The sequence below is a fragment of the Homo sapiens genome, chromosome 2 (genome assembly GCF_000001405.40).
Source record: "Homo sapiens chromosome 2, GRCh38.p14 Primary Assembly".
NCBI classification, from domain to species: domain Eukaryota; kingdom Metazoa; phylum Chordata; class Mammalia; order Primates; family Hominidae; genus Homo; species Homo sapiens.
The window spans coordinates 37,028,574-37,054,518 of NC_000002.12; the positions used below are offsets into that span (position 1 = coordinate 37,028,574).

Genomic DNA, 25,945 nt, shown 5'->3' on the forward strand with positions numbered 1-25,945 from the left:
AATAAAACCTATAATTTACATGTATGTATCTTTATACATATATCTATATGTATATATCAGAAGTAAAACAATTTCCATTATTTTAAGAACGCACATTAAATACTTACCACTAGAAGCTGCCAGGACATCTTTACAAAGCATTAGCCAATGAGAAAGTTTTTCTACTGCCAGCGAAGAAAGCATATGTCCCAAAGTGTCATGAATATCAGAACATAATTTTCGATCTGTCTCCCGGTCTAGCATTCCAAAAAGAAGTCCCTCAAGACCAGTTTCTGTTATATTAACACCTTGGTGCCGGCAATGGATATCAGTTCGAGAACTAACCCCAGGGGCAAAAGGACTGACATCTGAAAGGTAATTTTTACAAATGAATTTGTATGGTATTTTGGTGTACGCTATAGGTAACAATTATGATAAAGACCAAGTCTTACATATAAATTCACAACAGCCACAAAACCAGCTAGCTATATACAATTTAACTATGGCCTCTAGTTTACATATCTTTGGGATTATAATTTAATCTGGCAATTAGAGTAATACCTCGAACTGTAAAACTGATTATTCTGAGATATTGTAAACAAATCTCAGGGAACTCTCAATAAATACTTGATTCTAATAAGAAAAAGTGTGGGACAGAGATATACTGCTAAATATATTTAACAAACTAAAAAACTATTGTATTTGTTAGAAGAATAAATTGAAACTTATTCAGTCTTATAGTTCAGATTTTAAAATTTTTATAAAGCCAGAACACAAACTCTAAGTGGATTGCATCCTAAGAGTTCATTTAAAAATTGGGAAAATCCAAGGCTGGGCGCAGTGGCTCACGCCTGTAATCCCAGCACTTTGGGAGGCTGAGGCAGGTGGATCACCTGAGATCAGGAGTTCGAGACCAGCCTGGCCAACATGGCGAAACCCCGTCTCTACTAAAAATACAAAATTTAGCTGGGCATGGTGGCGGGTGTCTGTAATCCCAGCTACTCAGAAGGCTGAGGCAGGAGAATCACCTGAACCCAAGAGGCGGATGTTGCAGTGAGCCAAGATTGTGCCATTGCACTCCAGCCTGGACCACAAGAGTGAAACTCCACTGGGCACAGTGGCTCATGCCTGTAATCCCAGCACATTGGGGGGCTGAGGTGGGAGGTTCACAAGGTCAGGAGTTCAAGACCAGCCTGGCCAAGATGGTGAAATCCTGCCTCTACTAAAAATACAAAAATTAGCCGGGTGCAGTGGCAGGTGCCTGTAATTCGAGCCACTCGGGAGGCTGAGGCAGGAGAATGGCTTGAACCTGGGAGGCGGAGGTTGCAGTGACCCGAGACCGTGCCACTACACTCCAGCTGGGTGATAGAGACTCTATCTCAAAAAATAAATAAATAAATAAATAAATAAATAAATAAATAAAAATTGGGAAAATCCAAAGAGTAACAACAACCAAAAAGCAATGTTGTCATGAAATAGTGGTTAAATTTCTTGCTTCATCAGAAAATCTTTTCATTCTTGTAAACAGCAGCGGTATATAACTGGTGGCTTTAAGAATGAGTATTATTACGCCCTCTGAAGTCTAGAGCCCACTGAACCCTGAAGGGAGTAAGACAGACGAATGGAACTGAAAGGTAACTATTTTTGTTGTGTCACCCCAAATACAGAATAAGGGGAGGTTTGAAGAAAATAGCCATAGTGAGTGACATTCTAAAACAATAGAAAAAGTTAAATGAAAGGGTTCCAAGAAAAGAGAACACTAGGAAGAGATTAGGCACAGAGACTTTTTTTTCACTAAGCAGTAGATAGTGAATATTTTCCCATTTCAGTAATTATACTTCTATAGTATGAATGTTAACGGCTATGCAGCAAACCAATAAATTAAGGGAAAATTAATTGATTAATCACTGAGGACAAATTCCTTAAAAGAAAATTAATTGGTTAGAGGACAAATTCCTTAAGAGGGAATTTCTAGGTCAAAGGGTAAGCACATTTTGAAAACTTCAAGGACATAGTGCCAAAAAACCCTCCAGAAAATGTGCATGACTCTACATTTCTATCTGTAGTACAAGAAATATCTATTCCCACTTTTCCCAACACTGGTTGTAATTATTATTTTTAATCTTGATCACTTTTATAGAAGAAAAATGCTATTTTATGATTATAGTAACTTGCAATTGTTAAATCACTGGAGGTTAAAGATATTTGTTATTTCTTCTTTATAAAATGTGCTCTAGTGGTTTTTACCAGGTGCAAAAACAAATTAACACTGCAGGCCTGAGACTACCTTAGTAAGACTTAATTGCAAGGTTAGCCCTTGGCTAGCATCTGGGAATTGGGTTTCTAGAGGTTTCCCACCATTAATTCCCTGATAAAAGTGGCTCGCTGTACCTAAACTGTGGCTTCTGTTGAACATCTGCTTTCCTTCTGAGTCCGAACTTTTGGTATGTGCCAGGCAGGCCATGCCTATGGCATCAGCCCCCAATAAAAACATTGGGCATTAAGTCTTTAATAAGCTTCTCTGGGAGAATACATTACACACATGCTGTCACAATCCATTGCTGGGTTGCGATCTCTATGACTCCATGGGGACAGGGCTCTGGGGAGCTTGTGCCTGGTTTCCTCTAACTTCATCCTACACACCTTTTATTCCTTTTGTCATAATAAACACAGCCAGGAAAATGCCTATACACTGAGTCCACCCAGGAAATCATCAAACCTGGGGGTGATCTTGGGGACTCCAAACATACTCATTTGTAAAAGCTTTAAACACTTTTATATTTTATTAAATACATACGTTAGTAAATAAAATTAGTTAATAAAAATATATTTTGTAAATATTTTTCCCTATCTTAGCTGTTTTTCTGTTTTTCTTTTCTTTCTTTTTTTTTTTTTTTTTAAAGAGACAGGATCTCACTATGTTGCCCAGGTTGGACTTGAACTCCTGGGCTCAAGTGATCTGTCTCAGCCTTCCAAGTAGTCTCAATTTTGTTTATGGCAACTGACATGTAGAAGTTCTGAAAATTTATATGTATTCAGAAGAGTTCTGTAACTACTTTTGGTGATGTTTTCTCTCCAAAAACAGTACTGTCTACTGGTAGATTTTTATAATAAACTTCTTTAATATTCTACAATACCGTATATCTGTTAATAAAGTTCTTATGCTATGCTACAATTGAAGTTATTCTTGTATCTTGCTTCTTTGTATCCAAGCAGCTTCTAGGCATTAGAAAACTTTTATAAGTAAAAAATTTCCCTCATAATAGGGGAAATATCTCTGTCAATTAAACTCTTAAAAAGTTTCCAAACCACCTACACCTAGATATCAGAAGACCAGCTAGGAATTTAAGCTATACCTAAAACCCTCCAAAAAGGCAGAAAGATAGCAGAAGACCACCTAGGAATTTAAGCTATACCTAAAACCCTCCAAAAAAGCAGAAAGAACTAAAGGAAGCAAAGATCATCCTTTTGCTACCAAACATCTACTGACATTTCATAGTTTTATTGGCTACTTTGGTCTTACCTTCTTAGAGGAAAAATTACATCGCAAGAGGCTAACTACCACCCAGAACTGGAAACCTTCAAGTGCCCCTGAAACATCCTCAAGAAATGGCAGAAATATTCTGATACTAAATACTTTTCAGTTTTTTTAAGCTGCAAATAATTTTTTTTAAATCTAGTCACTCACACCCAACTTTTTACTTATTTATTTACTTACTTCCTTACTTTAGGAGACATGGTCTTACTCCACCACCCAGACTGGAGCACAGGGGCATGACCATAGCTCACTGTAACCTTAAACCCTTGGGCTCAAGTGATCCTCCCACCTCAGCCTCCTGAGTAGCTAGGACTACAGGTACACAACACTATGCCCAACTTGCAAAAATTTTTAAAAAGCAAAAATGCAAAATTATCAAGAAAACCACATTGGAATTTTAAAAGTGGTAATGGTTTTATTTCAAAGAATAAGACATCTGGCCACATTGCAACAGAAAAATGTTATTTGATAAATAGTACTTAACTGAAATGTAAAAGTAGTTAAACAAAAAACAATATTGACCAATAATATAACTTACTGGCACTACTGCTCTCTTTGTCCCCTGTATTTTTTGCCAGGCTCATGGCATATTCACATACTTCCGCTGCTTCTCTTTGTGCAAGTTGCCGAAGACATGCCACAGCTGCTCGTCGAAGTAACAAATGGGAACTACATAAGTGAACCTGTAAATCATAACAATGTTAGGCGATTTCTCTTTAAAAAGCTGTAATTCTTTAATCTTATTTGCCCAATGAATATATATATACATACATACATATATATGTTTTGTTTTGTTTTTTTTTTTTTGAGACAGAGTTTTGCTCTTGTTGCCCAGGCTGGAGCGCAGTGGCGTGATCTCAGCTCACTGCAACCTCCGCCTTCTGGTTTCAAGCGATTCTCTGGCCTCGGCCTCCCAAGTAGCTGGGATTACAGGTGCCTGCCACCACACCTGGCTAATTTTTGTATTTTTAGTAGTGTCGGGTTTTCACCACGTTGGCCAGGCTGGTTTCGAACTCCTGACCTCGTGATCCGCCCACCTCAGCCTCCCAAAGTGCTGGGATTACAGGCATGAGCCACCGTGCCCCGCCCTAATGAATATATATTAACATCTTACTTCTGAAGATGCTCTTCATTTAACAACCTCAGTTGTTTAAAATACAGTCAAATGATGGCCTTTTGACAAAATACTACTACTAATAAAATATACAAAAAATATGTTAGTAGCCAAAATAATTGTCCCAAGATCTGTGCTCTAAAGCTCATACAATATACTTAAATGAAAAATCCAGAAGGATCTTCTGCACATCTTATTTTACACATGGTCCTATTCAACTTTGTCATCTAAATTTTTTAAGTATATAGAGATCAAATGTAGTGAATGAAAAGTTAGGGGGCAGAGCACACCATAATATTTGAAAGCAAAGGAGGTTATCAAAGTGAAAAAACCAAATCAAGCAAACATAATCACCTGAAAAAATTGCAAAATGGGGCCTTTTGCCACAGTATTTTTTTCATCTGAAAGGTCCCTGAATATAGTACACTCTAAAACATAAAAGTATAAGATGCAACATGGCATAAAAGTTAAGAACTCAGGCACAGCTGCCAGACTGGGTTTGAATCCTGGCTCTGTCACTTATTCCTGTGACACCTTACACAAGTTACTCAGCCCCTCTGTGCCTTGATTTGCCCACATGTAAGGTGGGAATATTAACTCTTCACAGGAATATGGTGTAAATAAGTAAAATGCTTACAATGCTGGCTGGCACATGGTAACTGCTCAACAAATGTAAGCTATTATAATTATTAGTATAAATCTGACTCATGAAGAAAATATTAAATTATGTTCCATCTGCTGCTTTTCAAGCAAGGAAGTAATCTTTTAGAAAGAGTCCCAGACACAAATGATGGGGATGGAGAAGAACACATGTATGGAATATATCTCCCCTTCACAATGCCAGATAGTATATTTTTAGGCTATTAATATAGCATTTGTAATTCAAGATATACTTGCATAAAATTCATAGTCCTGCCTCAGCCTCCCAAGTAGCTGGGACTACAGGTGCCCGCCACCACGCCCGGCTAATTTTTTGTATTTTTAGTAGAGATGGGGTTTCACCGTGTTAGTCAGGATGGTCTCCATCTCCTGACCTTCTGATCCGCCCACCTCAGCCTCCCAAAGTGCTGGGATTACAGGCGTGAGCCACCGCACCTGGCTGTTTGTTTTGTTTTTAAGACATCGCCGGCCGGGCGCGGTGGCTCACGCCTGTAATCCCAGCACTTTGGGAGGCCGAGGCGGGCGGATCACGAGGTCAGGAGATCGAGACCATCCCGGCTAAAACGGTGAAACCCCGTCTCTACTAAAAATACAAAAAATTAGCCGGGCGTAGTGGCGGGCGCCTGTAGTCCCAGCTACTTGGGAGGCTGAGGCAGGAGAATGGCGTGAACCCGGGAGGCGGAGCTTGCAGTGAGCCGAGATCCCGCCACTGCACTCCAGCCTGGGCGACACAGCGAGACTCTGTCTCAAAAAAAAAAAAAAAAAAAAAAAAAAAGACATCGCCCAGGCTGGTGTGCAGTGTCACAATCACATCTTACTGCAGCCTCAACCTCTCGGGCTCAAGCGATCCTCTCGCCTCATTTTTTTATTTTTTGTAGAGACAAGGTCTCATTATATTGCCCAGGCTGGTGTCAAACTCCTGCACTCAAGTGATCTGCCTGCCTTGGGCTCCCAAAGCACTGGGATTACAGGTGTGAGCCACCGCACCCAGCCAACAAAGTACTTTATTTATTCCTCTTCCTGAAAATAAAGACATTTTGGAGCTTTCAAATACTCCATAACTAATTACAAAGTTCAAGCATGGTCATATCACATGGGAAGAACAAGTCACTTAGTCTCTTGAAGTTTCTGCCTTTTTATTTTTACAGTGGGGACAATATCCAATCCACCCATCTTACACAACTACTGTAAGAATCAAATGGTAAAACATATATGGAGAACATCATAACATTTTAATTTAGTAACAATTACAGAGAATTGTAGCTAAGAAAATACATTCAACAAATGGTGACTGGCAAAGCCTAAGTGAAAGAAACAAACCACTTTACAAAGTGTTTTCAAAAACCCCACTGCAGTTATTCTCAGGTGTACTTTTCCTTTTCATTTTAACATCTGTGATATTAGAGTTGTAAAGTACAATCAATGGTATCTTTAATCCCTATATTTATTGAAAAGATAATCCTATCCACCCTGAACTGTAGTGGTACCATGTGCCACAGTCGTAAGTTATATGACTGTGTATGTGTGAATCCAATTCTGGACACTCCGTTGTGTTCCATTTGTCTACTTGAGTATCCTTGCAATACTACCCTGTCTTTCTTACTGGAGATTATGGTAAATCTTGATAGTAAGTATAGCAAATCTTCCAACTTCATTGATCTTTACAAGCACTTTGCATTTCCCTATTAAGTTTACAATCAGCTTGTCAATTTTTCCAAAAACACCACTCTTCTACTCCACTTAGCTTCTGTGAACAACACAACCTCTATTCCTTCTTTAATCTCTCTTAACTGCTTCTACATATTTCTGGCTGACTCCTTTCCTCTTTTCTAAAATTTTCAAGTTGGGTTCCTCAATCATGACTCTCTCCTTGGTGATCTCATCTACTCCTACGTCTCTGTTTTCCATATAAATGCATATGCCTCTCAAATTTACCTCTTTAACCAGACCTCTCTTTTCTGAGCTCCAGGCCCATAAAACTAACTATCCATGTGTCTAAAACTGAATTAATGATATCCACTCTTCCCAACCCTCCTCCTCCGATGTTGCCAATCTCAGGGAATTACATTACTATACTCAAGTCAAAAACCTAGGCCACATCCTTCTAACCCTCTTCTCCAACTATGCCCCACTAAGAGCCAATTAATGAACAAATCCTTCATCCTAAATATTATTCAAATCCATTGATTTCTCCCCATTCTCTTACTAACTTAGAGCAAATCACTACCATCTTCTTCCGAGAATACCGTAATTCTTACCCTGTAGAGTCCACTCTCTATCATGCAGCAAGAACAAAATGTAAAAAGTGCAAATCTCATTATGTCACTCCCCTGCAGAGAACACCTTCTAATGGTTTCCCACTGCTTGTAGAATAAAGTCCAAAGGTTTTATGTATGTAGAAAGTCTGCGTGATATGTCACCTGGTTAGTTGTCCAGTCTCATCATTTCCTCTAGGTCCCACCTCTCTGTCTTCTCTCTCAGCCTTAATCACACTAACTAATTGGCTCTTTAAATGTATGACAGCCCTTCCCAGTTTAGGGCCTTGCATGTATTTTTCTTCCTGTCTAAAAGTAAATGCTGTCTACTTCAATATCATGCCCTTTGTAAACTAATTCCTATGTACTCTGCAAATCACACCTTAAATATCAATTGTTTTTTTTTTTTGAGACAGAGTTTCACTTTTCTCGCCCAGGTTGGAGTGCAATGGCGCAATCTTGGCTCACTATAACCTCCACCTCCCGGGTTCAAGCAGTTCTCCTGCTTCAGCCTCCCGAGTAGCTGAGATTATAGGCACCCGCCACCACCCCTGACTAATTTTTGTATTTTTAGTAGAGATGAGGTTTGACCACATTGCCCAGGCTGGTCTCGAACTCCTGACCTCAGGTGATCCCCCCGCCTTGGCCTCTCAAAGTGCTGGGATTACAGGCATGACCCACTGCGCCTGGCCTTAAATACCATTTTTTAATGAAAATCTTTTCTGAATGTCAGGATTATGATAGGCCTCCTGCTAACGCTCTCTTCCAGGCTTTTATAGCACTTATTTGTAAATAATATTTTTCCATTTTCCTTTGTAAACTATAAACTTTACTATGACAGAGGCTTGATCTTGTCTCACCCACAAATGTATCTCCAGTAGGTTGCATGGCTCCTGACATATAACAGGCTATCAATAAGTATCTGATGAATGAATAAATTAACAATTATAATGATACCAACAGATACTCAGAAGTATCAATCAAGCTTTAGGAAATAAAATTCCGAGTAGGAAAACTAAAAATGTGATATATATATATATTTTGGAGATGGAGTCTTGCTCTGTCGCCCAGGCTGGAATGCAGTGGTGCGATCTCGGCTCACTGCAACCTCCGCCTCCTGGGTTCAAGCGATTCTCCTGCCTCAGCCTCCCGAATAGCTGGGACTACAGGTGCACGCCACCACGCCCGGCTAATTTTGTATTTTTAGTATAGATGGGGTTTCACCATATTGGCCAGGCTAGTCTCAATCTCCTGACCTCATGATCTGCCCACCTTAGCCTCCCAAAGTGCTGGGATTACAGGTGTGAGCCACAGCGCCTGGCCCAAATGTGATATATTCTTAGCAAGGAAATAAACAGTTCATCAAGATATTTCTTAAAAGGTAAAAGAGAACACCAGTGAATAAAATGAATTGTCATAAAATGACAACTGAAGTTCAAAAAACAAACAAAAGATCTAGTATTTGATAACATAAAAGGGTGACTATAGTCAATAATAATTTTAATTGTACATTTTAAAATAACTATGGATTATTTATAACACAAATAAATGATAAATGCTTGAGGTGATGGATACCACATTCACTCTGATGTGATTATTATATACTGTAGGCTTGCATCAAAATACCCCAAGTACCCCAAAAATATATATAGCTAGTATGTATCCATAAAAAATTTTTTAAATGTAAAATAAAATACAACTTAAAAATCAATGAATGAAATAGCTCTATACTTACACAAAGGCTAGGAACAAGGCTAGATAGATTGACATGTCGTGGTGCAAACATGTGAAGCTGCTGAAGGCAAGATATGGCAGCTGCCTGAACAAGAGAATCTGAATGGTCTTGTGTTATTGCACAACCCACCAAACAAGAGGAACGAATTGTAGAAGTTGTTGCTCCATTCCCTGGTGCAAAATGAAAGAAAATATAAAATATAATTATTTTATTAGTACCACCAAAAATATTCCTAGTAAACAATTATCCTCTAAATAACCATTCTATCCAATTATTATTCAGGTTTTTTTTGCTGTTGTTTTTGAGATGGAGTCTCACTCTGTCGCCCAGGCTAGAGTGCAGTGGCGCGATCTCGGCTCACTGCAACCTCCGCCTCCCAGGTTCAAGCAATTCTCCTGCCTCAGCCTCTGGAGTAGCTGGGATTACAAGCACGCGCCACCACGCCCAGCTGATTTTTGTACTTTTAGTAGAGATGAGTTTTCACCATGTTGGTCAGGCTGGTCTCGAACTTCTGACCTCAAATGATCCACCCGCCGTGGCCTCCCAAAGTGCTGGGATTACAGGCATGAGCCACTGCACCCGGCCTATATGCCTATCTTTAAATGTAAATAAGGAAATCATAAAAATCACATAAGAGCTACATTCTAGTTTTATACGCATTGCCTTATCATTATCACTTTTGAAAATACTTGATAAACACCTATGCTTAATAAAAGGCACATATTTATCGTCTTCATATCCCTGTGACATTCACAGGAAGAACTATCCTCACTTTCCCAAAGAGGACAATGGGTCTAAGCAAGCGGCTTATTTAAATCACCTGTTTTTCCCTATAATACCAGCATTTTGGGAGGCCTAGGCGGACGAATCACCTGAGGTCAGGAGTTCGAGACCAGCCTGGCCAACATAGTGGAACCCCCGTCTCTACTGAAAATACAAGTTAGCTGAGGCAGGAGAATTGCTTGAACCCGGGAGGCGGAGGTTGTAGCGAGCTGAGATCACGCCACTGCACTCCAGCCTGGGAGACAGAGCAAGACTCTGTCTCCCTGGGGTGGGGGGGGTGGGGAATCACATATTTTTCAATTTCTAGCATTTTCTTTAAGTCTTTTTCTTTTTCCTCTCTTTTTAAAAATATCTGTCAAAATGGAGGAAACATAGCATAGAGATTAAGAATGCCGGTAACGGGCTGGGCGTGGAGGCTCGTGCCTGTAATCCCAGCACTTTGCAAGGCTGAGATGGGAGTGGGAGGATTGCTTGAGGCCAGCAGTTTGAGACCAGCCTGGGCAACATAGTGAGACCCCCATCTCTTAAAAAGAGAAAAAAAAAAAAAGGCCGGGTGTGGTGGCTCACGCCTGTAATCCCAGCACTTTGGGAGGCCGAGGTGGGTGGATCATGAGGTCAGGAGTTCGAGACCAGCCTGGCCAACATGGTGAAACCCTGTCTCTACTAAAAATACAACAAATTAGCTGGGTGTAGTGGCAGGCACCTGTAATCCCAGCTACTCAGGAGGCTGAGGCAGGAGAATCGCTTGAACTCAGGAAGCAGAGGTTGCAGTCAGCTGAGACCACACCACTGCACTCCAGCCTGGGCAATAGATTCAAAATAAAAAAAAAGAATGCAAGCATCGGAAATTGATCTGGGCTTCACTTCTTACTCCAACCACTCACTAGTTTCCAAAACCTTGTAAAAGTTCTTAACCTCTCTCAGATTCAATATTTGATCAATAAAATAGAGATAATATCAGTCTCTGGGTTGTTATCCGAATTAAATAATGTATGTTAAAAGCTCAACCCTTTGAAAACATATATAATAAATGACAAAGGAGAAAAAGGAAAACTCTGAAAGTGGTTTATATATTCAGGATATCTTTACAATAATTTGCTGACTTGGGAGTCTAACCATTAGTAGAATTAGCTCAGTGGAATTAAGTGGTACAAACATAGGCTTTAGGATCATAAATGTGCCACTCATAAGTTGACTAACTCTAGGCAAGTTACTTATCTTCTCGCAGTTTACTTCCTCATAGAAAATTAGCTAATATCTTTTTCCTCTAGCAAAAAGAAAACAAAATCTAGATAATATTTACCTTATGACAGTGGTTTTTCACGCTATGTTCCTAATCCTTAGAGTTCAAAAAAATGAAGCAAAAGTCCATGAAGACATGTGGATAGCACTCTAGGCCAAAGGAACTCTATTATTAACTTTCTTTTCATGGGACTCCAAGTAAAATTTCATTTAAAATGTTTTCTCTGCTCAAAACTTCAACAAACATTATCATGTCATAGGTTTCTTGTAGGGATTAAGTAAAATGCCACATGTAAAAAGCTGAGTGCCAGGCTTTCAGTAAATCCAAGTATTCAGTACATAGTAATTGTTATTACAAAATTTCTTCAAGTAATGTGATGGTGATATTCAGGAAATTTAAAGATACTGATTATCTAACTAGGTTCCTTAATTTCAGATGATTTACTTACCTTGTAGTTCAGGGCCAACAGTAGTTATTATAGCACCCAAGCATCGACCCAAACACTGATGAACTTCTGTATGTGAAGGCGGAACTGTCAACAGCAAGGTAAGAACTAGAGATAATGTTGGTTCCACATAGCCACGATACATCGGACCACTAGAATCCACTATCAAAGCAAGTGAATGAAGAGACCAAGTCTAGAATAAAATATAATTTCATTTTAGTTGTAAGGAAGAATTCGAATGTACTGAATTGAGTATACTGAATTGTTACATGGGTATACTCTTAATATTTTTAGGCCTAACAATGTGAAGTAGCAAATCCAGATTGTAGGATGTTTTCATACACATTCTTCATCTTCACTGTAGTTATATTTACTTATGTATAATAACGTCTAAAAAGAAACAACAAAAACAAAATATTCAAAGGGTCCACAAGAAGATTCAGCCAATGACCCAGGACCTACGTTGGGGTATCACAGGAAGAGAGAGAAGGATGGTTATTTAAAAAAAAAACTTGATCAAGCTAACAAATCTAAAGAAATAAAAAAAAAGAGGAAAAAAGTACACAGAATAATACACAATAAAAAGAAAATATGTTTGAAGGAATGTATGTGAATGGGTAAAATTCTCAGAATAAGACAGACTTTAAGACTAGGCTGATAAACAAAATCTTGCTATGTACTATTACAAAAACAAACCCTAATATATTTGTCCTAACAACTTACCACGGTCATTTTTATTTCATAGAGCAAATAATTTTCCAAAAAATTTTCTAAACTTTTGTAATAAAAAAACCAATTATATTATACCTGGACTTCAGGGGATGTCCCATCTTGTGCTAGAGCCAATAAAATGCTGACACTGGTCTTCAGATGTTGTCCTGAGCCTATTCCACCAACATAACGATGCAAACAACCAAGAGCCAATGAATGACCAGTCCTAGATACAACATCTCGAGCCGATTTCAACCTGAAAAAAAGATTATGCTTCAAGCACTAACTTTGCTATTTCCCTATAAAAACAACAACATTATAAGTCACACAAAAACTGGGATTTATTGGGGAAATAAGAAAAGATTATAATCAGTTACTTCTTTCTCCACTCCCTAACAGGAGTTAGAACTTCAATTTAAAATAACTACAGCTGGGTGTCATGGCTCATGCCTGTAATCCCAGCATTTGGGAGGCTGAGGCCGGTGGATCACTTGAGCCCAGGAGTTCGAGACCAGTCTGGCTAACATGGCAAAATCCCATTTCTAAAAAAAATTAAAAACTTAATCTGTCATGGCAGCGCATGCCTGTAGGCCCAGCTAGTAGGGAGGCTGAAGTGAGAGGACTGCTTGAGCCTGACAGGTGAGGCTGCAGTGAGCTGTGATCACGCCACTGCACTCCAGCCTGGGTGATAGAGCAGGACCCTGTCTCAATAATAATAATATTAATAATAATAATAATAATTGGTTAAAAACATATATTTGACTGAATAAAGCCTATTTTAATTTTAGAGAAAATTTGACAACTCATTTTTAATATTAATTATTCCTTGAAAAGCCAAGACTTATTTGAAATATTTTTATATTTTTAAAAAACAAAATAACTTATGTTTGGTTTTAAAAATAGTAAAAAGGTATTTGTTTTCACAGTATTACATAAAATATTTTACACTTAAGAAATACCCTATAATTATGATTTGAACCTCTTTAAAAAAGGCCAATCTTTTTTCTTTGTGAAATATATTTTAAATGAATTCAAATACATAAAAAGAGATGAACATTACTTTAAAAAATAAGCTTTATTGAGACTCACATACAATATTCACCAACTTTAGGTATACAATTAAATTTTAAATGTATACTAAAATATACAATTTAATGAGTTTTGATAAGTATACAGTATGTAACCACCACATAATCATTAGAACAGAGATGTCCAAGATGAATACGAGGGGTCTTCAAAAAGTTTATGGAAACTACACATTATGCAAGAACTATACATGGATTTCAACATTTTGGGGTACCAAAATAAACTCGTACTAACTTGTTATAATATATCTGAACAGGACCTAGTTTTAGGCACCAAGAAGGATAAGAACATCAGTTTGAAAAGTGCCCCTATGAGAGCAACACAAATTCTGCTAAAGATGAATTAAGAACAAATATCAAATTTATGGTGAAGCTTGGGTGGAAGAATGGTGAAATCACCGATGCTTTACGAAAGTTTGTGAGGACAATGCCGTCAAAGATATCAGCAGTTTACAAATGAATAGCTCATTTTAAGAAGAGATGAGGCAGGCCGGGCACAGTGGCTCATGCCTGTAATCCCAGCATTTTGGGAAGCCAAGGCAAGTGGATCACTCGAGGTCAGGAGTTCATGACCAGCCTGGCCAAAATGGTGAAACCCTGTCTCTACTAAAAATACAAAAATCAGCTGGGTGTGGTGGCACTTTCCTGTAATCCCAGCTACTCCGGAGGCTGAGGCAGGAGAATCACTTAAACCAGGGAGGCAGAGGCTGTAGAGAGCCAAGATCGCGCCACTGCACTCCAGCCTGGGCGACAGTGAGACTCTGTCTCAAAAAAAAAAAAAAAAAAAAGAAGGGATGAGATAATGCTGAAGATGAAGCCCAAAGCTGAAGACCACACCCATCAATTTGAGAGAAAATAATGCATCTTATCTGTGCCCTAACTGAAGAGTATTGATGATTAACAGCAGAAATAATAGCCAACAACATACATATCTCAACTGGTTCAGCTTACATAATTCTGACTGAAATGTTAGAGTTGAGCAAACTTTCCACTTGATGTGTGCCAAAACTGTTCTACCCAAATCAGCTGCGGACAAGGCAGAGCTTTCAATGGTAATTTTAAACAAGTGAGATCAAGACCCTGAAGCATTTCTTTAAAGAACTGTAACAGGAGATGGAACATGGCTTTAACAGTATGAACCTGACACAAAGCACAATCAAATCAATAGATACCAAGAAGTAAAAGTGGTTCATTCAAAGCAAAAGTGGACTAGTTAAGAGCAAAGGTCATGGCAAAAGTTTTTTGGAATGCTTAATACATTTTGCTGCTTGACTTTCAGAATGGCCAAAGAACAATAGCATCTGCTCATTATAAAAGTATTTTGAGAAAGTTAGCCAAAGCTTTAGCGAAAAAATAACTGGGAAAGCTTCACTAGAGAGTTCTTCTCCAAGGGCAATTCTGCAAGAGTTTCAATGGAAAGTCATTAGACAATCACTTTATGGTCCTGATTTGGCTTCTTATGACTTTTTTGTTGTTGTTGTTTCCTAATCCTTAAAAAAAATATTTAAAGGGTGCTCATTTTTCTTCAGTTAATAATGCAAAAAAGACTTCATTGACATGGTTAAATTCCCAGGATTCTCAGTTTAGGGATGAACTAAATGGCTGGCATCATCACTTACAAAAGTGTCTTGAACCTGATGGAGCTTATGTTGAGAAAAAAAGTTTGTATTTTATTTGTATCTTTTCATCCTATTATTTCAAGAACTTTTTGAAGTCCCTAATAGAAGCCACATATGTAATTTAAAATATTCTAGTTGCCACACTCCAGAAGACAAAAAGGAAACAGGTGAAATTATTTTTTTTAAATAGAAATGAAGGTTTTAGAGTCCAGGCTGGTCTCAAACGCCTGGCCTCAAGTGATCCTCCTGCCTTGAAATCAATTTCAATACATTTTATTTAACTCAATATATCCAAAATATTAAAATATCAAGATGTAATCAATATACCAAATTATTGAGATATTTTACATTCTTTTTTTGAACTAAGTCTTCAAAATCCAATATGTATTACACACTCACAGCGTGTATCAATTTGGGCAAGATACATTTCAACTGCTCAATAGTCGTATGTGGGTAGTGGCTGCCATATTGACAACACAAGATATAGGACATTTTCATCACCACAGAAAGTTGCCTTAGGTCCCTTTGTTGTCATATTCCTTCCCCCAACATCCTGGCAACCACTGAGCTGTCTTCTATCATTATAGTTTACCTTTTATATAGTTTCATACGAATGAAATCAGATAGTACCTAGTCTTTGGGGTCTGGATTATTTTACATAGAACAAAGCTTTTAAGATTCATCCAATTTATTGTAAAAGTAGTTTGCTCTTTTTATATAGCTGAACAATATTCCATTTATGAATACATCACTATTTATCTATTCAACCATTGATAATTGTGGATACTTTCCAGTTTTTGGCTCTCATAAATAAAGCTACTATAAAAGTTTGAGTACAAGTGTTTGTATGCACATACATTTTCATTTCTCTTAGGTAAATACCTAGAAGTGGAACTGGTAGGCAAAAGAGAAGCATATATTTACATTTATAAGAAACCATCAAACTATCTTCCAAAGTGTCTGTAACATTTTGCATTTCTACTGGCAATATATAAGAGTTCTTAACCTACCCTTTGCTGAGATTTCAATTATATGCATGTTACACAGCTTGATATTGGTCCCAGAAGTCACTGAGACTCTGTTCATTTTTAATTCCAGTCCTTTTTCTCTCTACGCCTCATTTTTGATAGTTTCTATGTCTTCAACATCACTGGAATGATCTTTTCTCAATTTCTGTGAATTTTGGTCTTAATTCTAAGCTGGTGTAAGATGTCAATACACAAATACAGCTGACTGACCTGTTCTTCCTACCTCATTGTCTAACCTTCTGTAAATCCTATCCAGTGCATTTTTTCATTTCATACATTTTACATTTCTAGGTTTCCTTTGGGCTGTTTTTACAAATTCCTTTTCTCACATCATGCTCAGGTTTTCCTGTACTTCCTTGAAAATGTAAAGCATATTTATAATAGCTCTTTTAATATTCTTATTTGCTAATTTCATCTTTTTTTTTCATTTCTGGGCCGTTTCTATTGATTGATGTTTTCTCCAAGTAAGAGGTTTTATCTTTCTGCTTCTTTATGTGCCTAGTAATTTTTGATTGGATACAGGATATTGTGAATTTTATGATGTTGAGTTGCTCCATTTATTATATTCCTTTAAATATTGCTGAGTTTTTTTCTGGGATACAGTTCAGCTACTACTAAGAATCAGTTTGATTTTCTCAAGGCTTGCTTTTAAGCTTTTTTAGGGTGGGTCAGGGATGTTGCTCCCATTACTGAAGCAATATCGTTCCGAGGGCTTCACCTCAGGAGGTCTTTCTATTCTGAATAGTGGGAACACAAAATATTCTCAGCCCTGTGAGTTCTGAAAATTGTTTCACCTATTCCCTTTTGGTGGTTCCTTCCCCAGTCTTGGGTAGTTTCCTTGTATTCTGCACATATCAGTATTCAGCCAAAGACTTTAGATGATCCTTCTGTTCATAGCTCTCTCCCTGTGCAGCTCTCTCCTCTCTGTTATTCCACCCTACACATTCTAGCTACCTTGCCTCCCCAAATTGCAAATGCTCTCTCCTCAAGTTTGGGTTTCCTATTTCTGTACTTAAGCCTGGAAACTTTCTTCAAGCAGTAATCTGGAGCATCTTTAGTGTTCCCTTTGTTTCTTTCCCATTCCTAGGAATCACTGTCCTATGCTGGCTGTTGTCCAATGTCTCAAAACTGTTGTTTCATTTATTTTATCTGTTTTTCTAACAATTTAAGACACAAGGGTAAATACAGTCCCTGTTATTCCACCACTAATGGCAGTTAAAGTCCTGTACATTCTTTTAATGTTTATCTGAAAGAATAAGATTTCATCATTTTGTTCATATTTAACTAGTAATGTAGAGATTTGAAATGAAGCTAACATGTAAACTTCATTTTGAACAATGGAAAGGATCAAATAAAAGAAGCTATGAAGAAATACTTTTTTAAGCCATAAAATACTATGACTCATAATCATGCACCAATACAGTCAATTACTATTAGAAAACAGAACAAAATACTACTAGGAACAATGCACCTAAATTAACAAAGCAGCCTAAAAAGCAATTTGGTTGTATTTTCAAAACTTTATTAAAACTCTTAATAAGCTATCCACAACCAGACTTCTGGCAACCTCATTAAAAGTCAAGAGATGGGCCAGGCGCACTGGCTCATGTCTGTAATCGCAGCATTTTGGGAGGCCAAGGTGGGTGGATCATTTGAAGTCAGGAGTTTGAGACCAGCCTGGCCAACATGGCGAAACTCCATCTCTACTAAAAATATAAAAATTAGCCGGGCGTGGTGGCAGGCACCTGTAATCCCAGCTACTTGGGAGGCTGAGGCACAAGAATCACTTGAACCCGGCAGGTGGAGGTTGCAGTGAGCTGAGATTGCACCACTGCACTCCAGCCTGGGCAGCAACAGGGAAACTCTGTCTCAAAAAAAAAAAAAAAAAAATATTGAGAGACGAATAATCATCCCCAAGACTCTAGTTGGCCAGTTTGCCTACTGCAAACTAAAGAAAATTCTAAGTGCTGTCACAGAACAGATGTTAAGAAATGTGGCAGGCTGGGTGCAGTGGCTCACGGTTGTAATCCCAGCACTTTGGGAGGCCGAGGCAGGTTGATCACCTAAGGTCAGGAGTTCGAGACTACCCTGGCCAACATGGTGAAACGTTGTCTCTACTAAAAATACAAGAATTAGCTGGGCATGGTGGCCTGCACCTGTAATCCCAGCTACACGGGAGGCTAAGGAAGGAGAATCACTTGAACCTGGGAGGTGGAGGTTGCAGTGAGCCAAGATTGCACATCTGCAACAGAACCAGACTCCACCTCAAAAAAAAAAAAAAAAAAAAAAAAGAAGCTGGGTGTGGTGTCTCCCTCCTGTAATCCCAACTACTCAAGAGGCTGAGGTGAGAGGGCTGCTTTAGCCAAGGAGTTTGAGACCAGCCTGGGCAACACAGCAGGATCCCATCTCAAAAAAAAAAAATAAATAAATAAATGTAGCAATGAATGAAGTGAAGTAGGTCTATCTGTAACATTATTTCTAACATATTATATCCTTGGATAAGTAATCTTTACCTCTCTAAGCCTCCATTTCTCTAAGTGAAATTATTATTATTCCTAAAGAGCAGTTGTTTTGAGGAATAAAGAAGTTAAGAATAAATGCAATCTGTGAATTCTAAAACATTACACAGATTAGAAAGTTACCTTTGTGTTATTATTTCTCAAAAAGTAACAGGTTAGTGAACCTAAAGCAGAATCAATGTTCACAGTGATAATCATCTCTTCACAGTAAATAATCTTAGATATAAGAATATACATTTCTCAGAGGTCTCAAAGTGACTTTCAATTGAATGGAAATAAATTCAACTATCAAAGATTTTTATTTTTATCCAAACTGGGTCTTAAGCAATTGAAGGTACTCCCTATTAACCTAGAATGGTTTACAGAATGATTCCTGTCTTAATTTCTGTGAATTTCTGTCTTAATGCTAAGTTAGTATAAGATTTCAATGTGCAAATATACAAGACGGACCTGTAGCTATAGATGATTTTAGCATTTCACAGTCAGATATTATATCAGAAGAGATGATGTTGATGAAAACAGTCTAATATAATGAGGCTGTGAAAGACTGAAGTTTTTCCAAAATACAGCCAGATTCTGCCAAATCTAAGACACCATCGTTTTAAAAAATGTACCATTACTTTACATAGCAGTATAAAAGAATTAAAATGCTGCCAAATATTATGACATTTCATACAGAATTTCAGAAAAATCCCAGTTTTAAATAAAATGTGAAAAAATGGGTAACAAAATCTTCGTAATAATTATTTCAGATCATAAGGATTTGAAAAAGATAATGAAGGCAAGCACTGATGATACTTGCAAACAACTAAATTGGACAGGTATAAATAAATGAAATGTCCTTGTGTTTCATCAAAGTACAAAATAAATACAGTACCCTACAGATATTGAGGACACATTGTTTTTTTTTTTTTTGAGACAGAGTTTCGCTCTGTCACCCAAGCTGGACAGTAATGGCATGATCTTGGCTCACTGCAACCTCCACCTCCCAGGCTCAAGCGATCCTCCCATCTCAGCCTCCCAAGTAGATGGGACGATAGGTATATTCAACCATGCCCAGCTAATTTCTGTATGTTTTGTAGAGACAGGGTTTCACCATGTTGCCCAGGCTGATCCAGAATTCTTGGGCTCAAGTGATCCACCCACCTCAGGCTCCCAAAGTGCTGGGATTATAGGCAAAAGATAACGCGCCCAGCCAAGGACACATAAACTAAAACTCCTTGTAATTAAAAAAAAAAATTACCCTTCAAGAGCTTTCTAAAGAAACATACTCCTACTTCACCTGTTATGAACAGAGCACAAACCATTAAATGGATAACTAAGATTGTTACTATCTTTTAATAAATATTTAATAAAAAGCTATTTCATAATCAATGGCAAATATTTGGAAAGAGGAAAACTAATCTATTGCTAGAAAATAGCAGCAATCATTCTGCAGAAGATTAAGTGTCTGGTTATATTTTAACTGTCTTTTGCCTGCTCATACTATCCTTAGTGCATTAGGGCATTACCAAATAACGAATCAAATTGCCATTTACAAGTCAAGACAAGGAAAGCTATTTACAGATAGGCAATAATTCAGAAAATACATTTTCTTCAGAACTACTACTTCATAGCCACTGCTTCATACTCTTTTGTTAATGACCATGACATAGTTTGCTATATTTAATACTCTATATATATGATAGCTAAGAATGATATAATTTACATAACACAAGTGTCAGTTCTTGACAACCCTTGATTTTTAATTTCTCTACTTATGCACTTGATTAACAAGTCAATAGTCACTAATAACTGCAACTCATCATCTTAATGAAACATCACTAATAACTGCAACTCATCATCTTAATGATACTTATTTGGGTCTCTGAGATCACTCTTTATAATTAATATATAAGTGAATCCTTAAAACCTGATGCTTAACTATTCTGTTTCAGTCATAATTTAAGAGATAAACTTGGCAGCAGTTAGAAAAAGAATGGCTTATTCCAAAAAGTGGATAATTAACAGAAAGAATAAAGAGGGACAAGGAAAGGGAGGGAGGAGAGAAAATGACGTCAGAGCACCTCTTCAGTGAATACACATAACAGAGAAGTCCTTATTAACATTTTTCTTGATTTCATTAAGCAACATTCAAGAGCTGGATTAGAAGCCCTCTCCACGCAGAAAGTATCTAACATATTACAACTTTCCCAGATTCTAGAGTTGAATCAACTGCTAAATTAAAAATTGAGATCATTACAAAAAACCCACAAAATATTATCACATGCTGTATACCATGTGGAAAACATAAACTCCAGTTGATTATTATTTAAAAGACATCTTTGCCTACACATGAAACTTGTTAGTAAAGAAACCCACTTACTTGTCAAAGCTATATTGGGCCATTCTAGCAATAAAAGTTGCTTCTCCAACCACCTGAGCCATTCTTCCAAGAGCTTCCCCCGCTGCACAACGTAAGATGGGGTTTGGGTTGTCCAGAGGACCCATAACCAGTGTCAGGGCAGATTTACGAACTTCCTCAGGTCCTAAAGTACTTTTGTTTTCAGCTAAGCCCTACATTAAAAAAAAAAAAAAAAAAAAGACAGCAATTCATAATTCATTATTATTATTTTTTTTTTAAGGCAAGGTCTTGCTCCCTTGCCCAGGCTGGAGTGCAATGGCACAATCACTGCTCACTACAGCCTCGACCTTCTGAGCTCAAGCAATCCTCCCAGCTCAGCCTCCTGAGTAGCTGGGACTATAGGCGCATGCCACCCTGCTGGGCTAATTTTTAAAAAGTTTTTGTAGAGACAGGGTCTTACTAAGTTTCCCAGGCTGGTCTCAAACTCCTGAGCTCAAGCAATCCTCCTGCCTGAGCCTCCTAACATGCTGGGATTACAGGCGCACCTGGCCTCGCAATTCATATTAAATAAAGGAAAAATACATGCTGCAATCTTTCTAAAATATACATACATCTTCATAAGTTATTTTCTTCAACCAGTTTTCACATGTATATACTAATGTCTAGAATCTGTAACTGTTCAATTCACGGTAATTACTTTCCTAAATACGATTTCAGAACGTGATCTATAACACAGCCATAGTCTGACTGGCCCTAAGAGACACTTGCGGGGAGTGTCTCTATTCAAAGACTAGTACTTAAAAGTTACTTCCATATATTAAGGACACTGTATTACTAAATCAACCATTATTTAACTGATTGAAATTTATCACTCTAAGGAAACATTCTCCTATTTCACCTGTTATGAAACAGAGCACAAACCATTAAATGGATTGGTTCTATCTTTTAAGAAATCTTTAACAAAAAAATAATTTCAGAATCAATGGCAAATATTTGGAAAGAGGATATTTGGAAGAGTATTTCATACTCTTGATGAATATGAAACTGAATAGTTTATATAAAAATTTCACAGAAGACAATTATATGACTTAAACAGTATAATCAACATACATCTAAAAACAAAATGAGGCGAGGCGCGGTGGCCTAGGCCTGTAATCCCCGACTTTGGGAGGCCAAGGCGGGGAGATCATGACATCAGGAGATCAAGACCATCCTGGCCAACATGGTGAAAACCCATCTCTACTAAAAATACAAAAAAAATTAGCTGGGTGTGGTTGCACATGCCTGTAATCCCAGCTACTCAGCAGACTTAGGCAGGAGAATCACTTGAATCCGGGAGGCAGAGATGAGACTGCAGTGAGCCAACATCACACCACTGCACTCCAGCCTGGCGACAGAGTGAGACTCCGTCTCCAAAAAAAATAAATAAACTAACAAATGAGGTGGCCGGGTGCAGTGGCTCACGCCTGTAATCCCAGCACTTTGGGAAGCTGAGGTGGGTAGATCATGAGGTCAGGAGATTGAGACCATCCTGGCCAACATGGTGAAACCCCGTCTCTGCTAAAAATACAAAAATTAGCTGGGCATGATGGCGCGTGCCTATAATCTCAGCTACTCGGGAGGCTGAGGCAGGAGAATCGCTTGAACCTGGGAGGTGGAAGTTGCAGTGAGCTGAGATCACGCCACTGCACTCCAGCCTGGCAACAGGGCGAAACTCCATCTCAAAAAAAAAAAAAAAAAAAAAAAAGGTAAAAATAGTAATTAGTAACTGAATGTTGAAGTAGTTTGCTCATCATATTAAATGTCACTCTCTTTGTTCTAGCTGTACTTACCATCCTGGAACTTTATTTATTTATTTGAGACCAAAAATCTATGTCACATTGCATGGGGAAAATGTTAACTACAACAGAGGCATTAGCATATCTATGAAGAAAAGTGTAATCTGTACAGCAATATTACAGTTGGTTCACTACTCTCCCAATCACTGAAGGAGACCACGACCACCCCACTCCTTTTCTAAAAAACTCACAGGTCCAAATTAGTTGATGGTCTCCTCAGAGTACATACTAATGGTTATATAAATGGTCCAAACCTGTATTTCTTCTTCTTTTTTTTTTCTTTTTTCTGAGACAGAGTCTTGCTCTGTCCCCCAGGCTGGAGTGCAATGGCATGATCTCGGCTCATTGCAACCTCTGCCTCCCAGGTTCAAGTGATTCTCCTGCCTCAGCCTCCCCAGTAGCTGGGATTACAGGCACCTGACACCACGCCTGGCTAATTTTTGTATTTTTAGTAGAGATGGAGTTTCATCATGTTGGCCAGGCTGGTCTCAAACTCCTGACCTCAGGTGATCCCCCCGCCTCGGCCTCCCAAAGTGCTGGGATTACAGGCATAAGCCACCACGCCCAGCCCCAAACCCTTATTTCTATAATCAATGCCTATATATATCCTTTTTCCCTGATGTTTACAAAATATGACTTAAGCATGACCTAAGACATGTTCATGCAAACACATATTTGCTACCATTTTATTTTAAAATAAGCTTAGCACTGAATAATATAAAAAGTATTCAAACACTTTATGATAGAGTGCCTAGTATGATGCGCGAATCCTGTGAGATAGGCAAACTATTTGTAACAGTGGTCCCCTCTTTTCCACAGGGGACACATTCCAAGGCCCACCTTGGATGTCTGAACCATGGGATTAGGAACCTGATTGCTGTCAATGGGAACTTGTTTCTGTTCATGCCTTCTACTCACAAACTTAATGCCTTTTCAATTTTAACTAGGCACTTATCACATACCATGGCCATGATTTTTGTAATTTGCGATGGGACAGCAAAACTAACACAAATTCCTTTTTCCTTCTTCATGATTTCAGACAGAAGATTTGTTCTTCCTGTAGATCTCAGCAACTTTGGCATATGATATTATTTCTTGCCTTCTTAAGTTGAGAACTTTCTCTTCTTCACTTAAAGGAAGCACTTTACAGCTTCCCTTTGGCATATCCAAATTGCCAGAATCACTACTTTTGCACTTTGGGGCCAGTATGAAGTAAAACAAGGGTTATCTGAACATAGGTGCTGCCACACTGCAGCAGCCCATCTGATAACTGAGACAGATGGTGACCAAGTGACTAACAGACAGGTAGGGTAGAAAGTGTGGAATCACTGGACAAAGAGATGATTCTCATCCTAGGCAGGACAGGGCAAGATGGAACAGGACAGTACAAGATTTTATCATGCTACTCAGAATGTTGCACAATTGAAAACTTATAAATTATTTCGGGAAATTTCCATTTAATATTTTCAAATCACAGTTGACCATTGGTAATTGAAACTGCAGAAAGCAAAACTGCAGATAAGGAAGGGACTACTGTATTCTTCTTCATACCTGTAGAAACTACAACTCGAAAAAGGTTAAAAAAGTTTAAAGAAATTACTCTGGACACAAACCTAGAGTAGCTTAATGAGAACGCAATCTCTAAATGCAGCATTCTTTCAATTATGTAACACTGCCTCACATGATTTGTGGCCTAAACCACAGATCAAGCTTCAGCTCTATTTAGTTAACCTTCAGTAGAATATCCGATTTCATTCGTCAAACATCTTTGAAAATTCTGAAAGAATTTATTGGCACTTGTAAAATCTGAAGTTCAAATTGAAACATAAACTTTAACAACATTAAAATATAAAACATTTATTTAACTACACTGAGCCTAACATAAAGTTTCAAGTAATTTAACTAAGCTAACGTAAAGGCACAGTTACCAAGTGATTTACATATAAACATTATAATAATCTTGCTATGTCTGGCTTATTAAATGCATTAATTAAAAACTTATTTCAGAATAGTATGTATTAAAAGTAAATACCTTTAGTGCACTAAGAACAGCAGTAAATATGTTAAGCTGCACAGCCTGCTGGCGGACACCTTTAGCTTGTTTAACACATTCAGCAAAGTGATCCAACATTTGTAATCTATAACAATAAGAAAAAAAAATCACATTAGTGACAAATTTTATTCCAATATGGCTCAAAAACGGATAAGAAGAGTACAAGTTAATTGTTTAGCAAATAATTCCCCATGCTATCTCTTTTCTATTTCATTCCCACAGCTAGTCCAAACCAGATCTCCTTCTCCCAAAATATTATATGGACATGCGGTTATTAAATGGAACAAGAAAAGAGTTTCAATTAACAAAATAAGGTCACAATTGCAGTGGTCTTCAACATTAACAGCACTGTCCAACAAAGCGCCTGGCATCTAGTAGACGCTCAAGGTTTCTTGCAAAGATAACAATCATTAATTATGTATCTCCGTGGAAGATTTTTAAGTTAGAAAATTTTAAATGTAGTATAATTCTTTTTCCTATTTTAAAAATACTCTTAGAATAGTACCTCATGTCCTAGCCTCAGAAGCTTTTGGGAAAGTTCAAAAAAGATTTAGCTTTGGCTAATTTTTTTAAATGTAAAAAACCAGAAGTGAATTGTTTTTTATATTAATAAAAAAGAATCAGTTTATTAAAAAAAAAAAATCCATGGCCATCTTAGATGATTTCTCTGTTTTTTTTTTTTTTTTTTTGAGATGGAGTTTCGCTCTTGTTGCCCAGGCTGGAGTGCAATGGCGCGATCTCGGCTCACCACAATCTCCACCTCCCAGGTTCAAGTGATTCTCCTGCCTCAGCCTCCCGAGTAGCATGCGCCACCACGCCTGGCTAATTTTGTATTTTTAGTAGAGACTGGGTTTCTCCATGTTGGTCAGGCTGGTCTCGAACTCCCGACCTCAGGTGATCTGCCCACCTCGGCCTCCCAAAGTGCTGGGATTACAGGCGTGAGCCACTGTGCTCTGCATTTTTTTTTTTTTTTTTTTTTGAGACTGAGTTTCGCTC

General features: G+C 38.0%; 1 protein-coding gene across 11 annotated transcripts in view; it reads right to left on the minus strand.

Annotated features, from left to right (window-relative positions):
• The window catches only part of HEATR5B (HEAT repeat containing 5B), a 103,478-nt gene that overhangs the window by 47,679 nt on the left and 29,854 nt on the right, over nt 1-25,945 (minus strand). For all 11 annotated transcript variants that reach the window (XM_047444812.1, XM_047444810.1, XM_006712035.5 and 8 more), the window contains 7 exons: nt 24,929-25,034; nt 21,080-21,270; nt 12,560-12,719; nt 11,756-11,945; nt 9,282-9,451; nt 4,056-4,200; nt 108-347 (listed from right to left, as the gene is read on the minus strand). In XM_047444812.1, the coding sequence (XP_047300768.1) occupies nt 108-347; nt 4,056-4,200; nt 9,282-9,451; nt 11,756-11,945; nt 12,560-12,719; nt 21,080-21,270; nt 24,929-25,034 (1,202 nt within the window). The remainder of the gene's footprint in view (nt 1-107; nt 348-4,055; nt 4,201-9,281; nt 9,452-11,755; nt 11,946-12,559; nt 12,720-21,079; nt 21,271-24,928; nt 25,035-25,945) is intronic.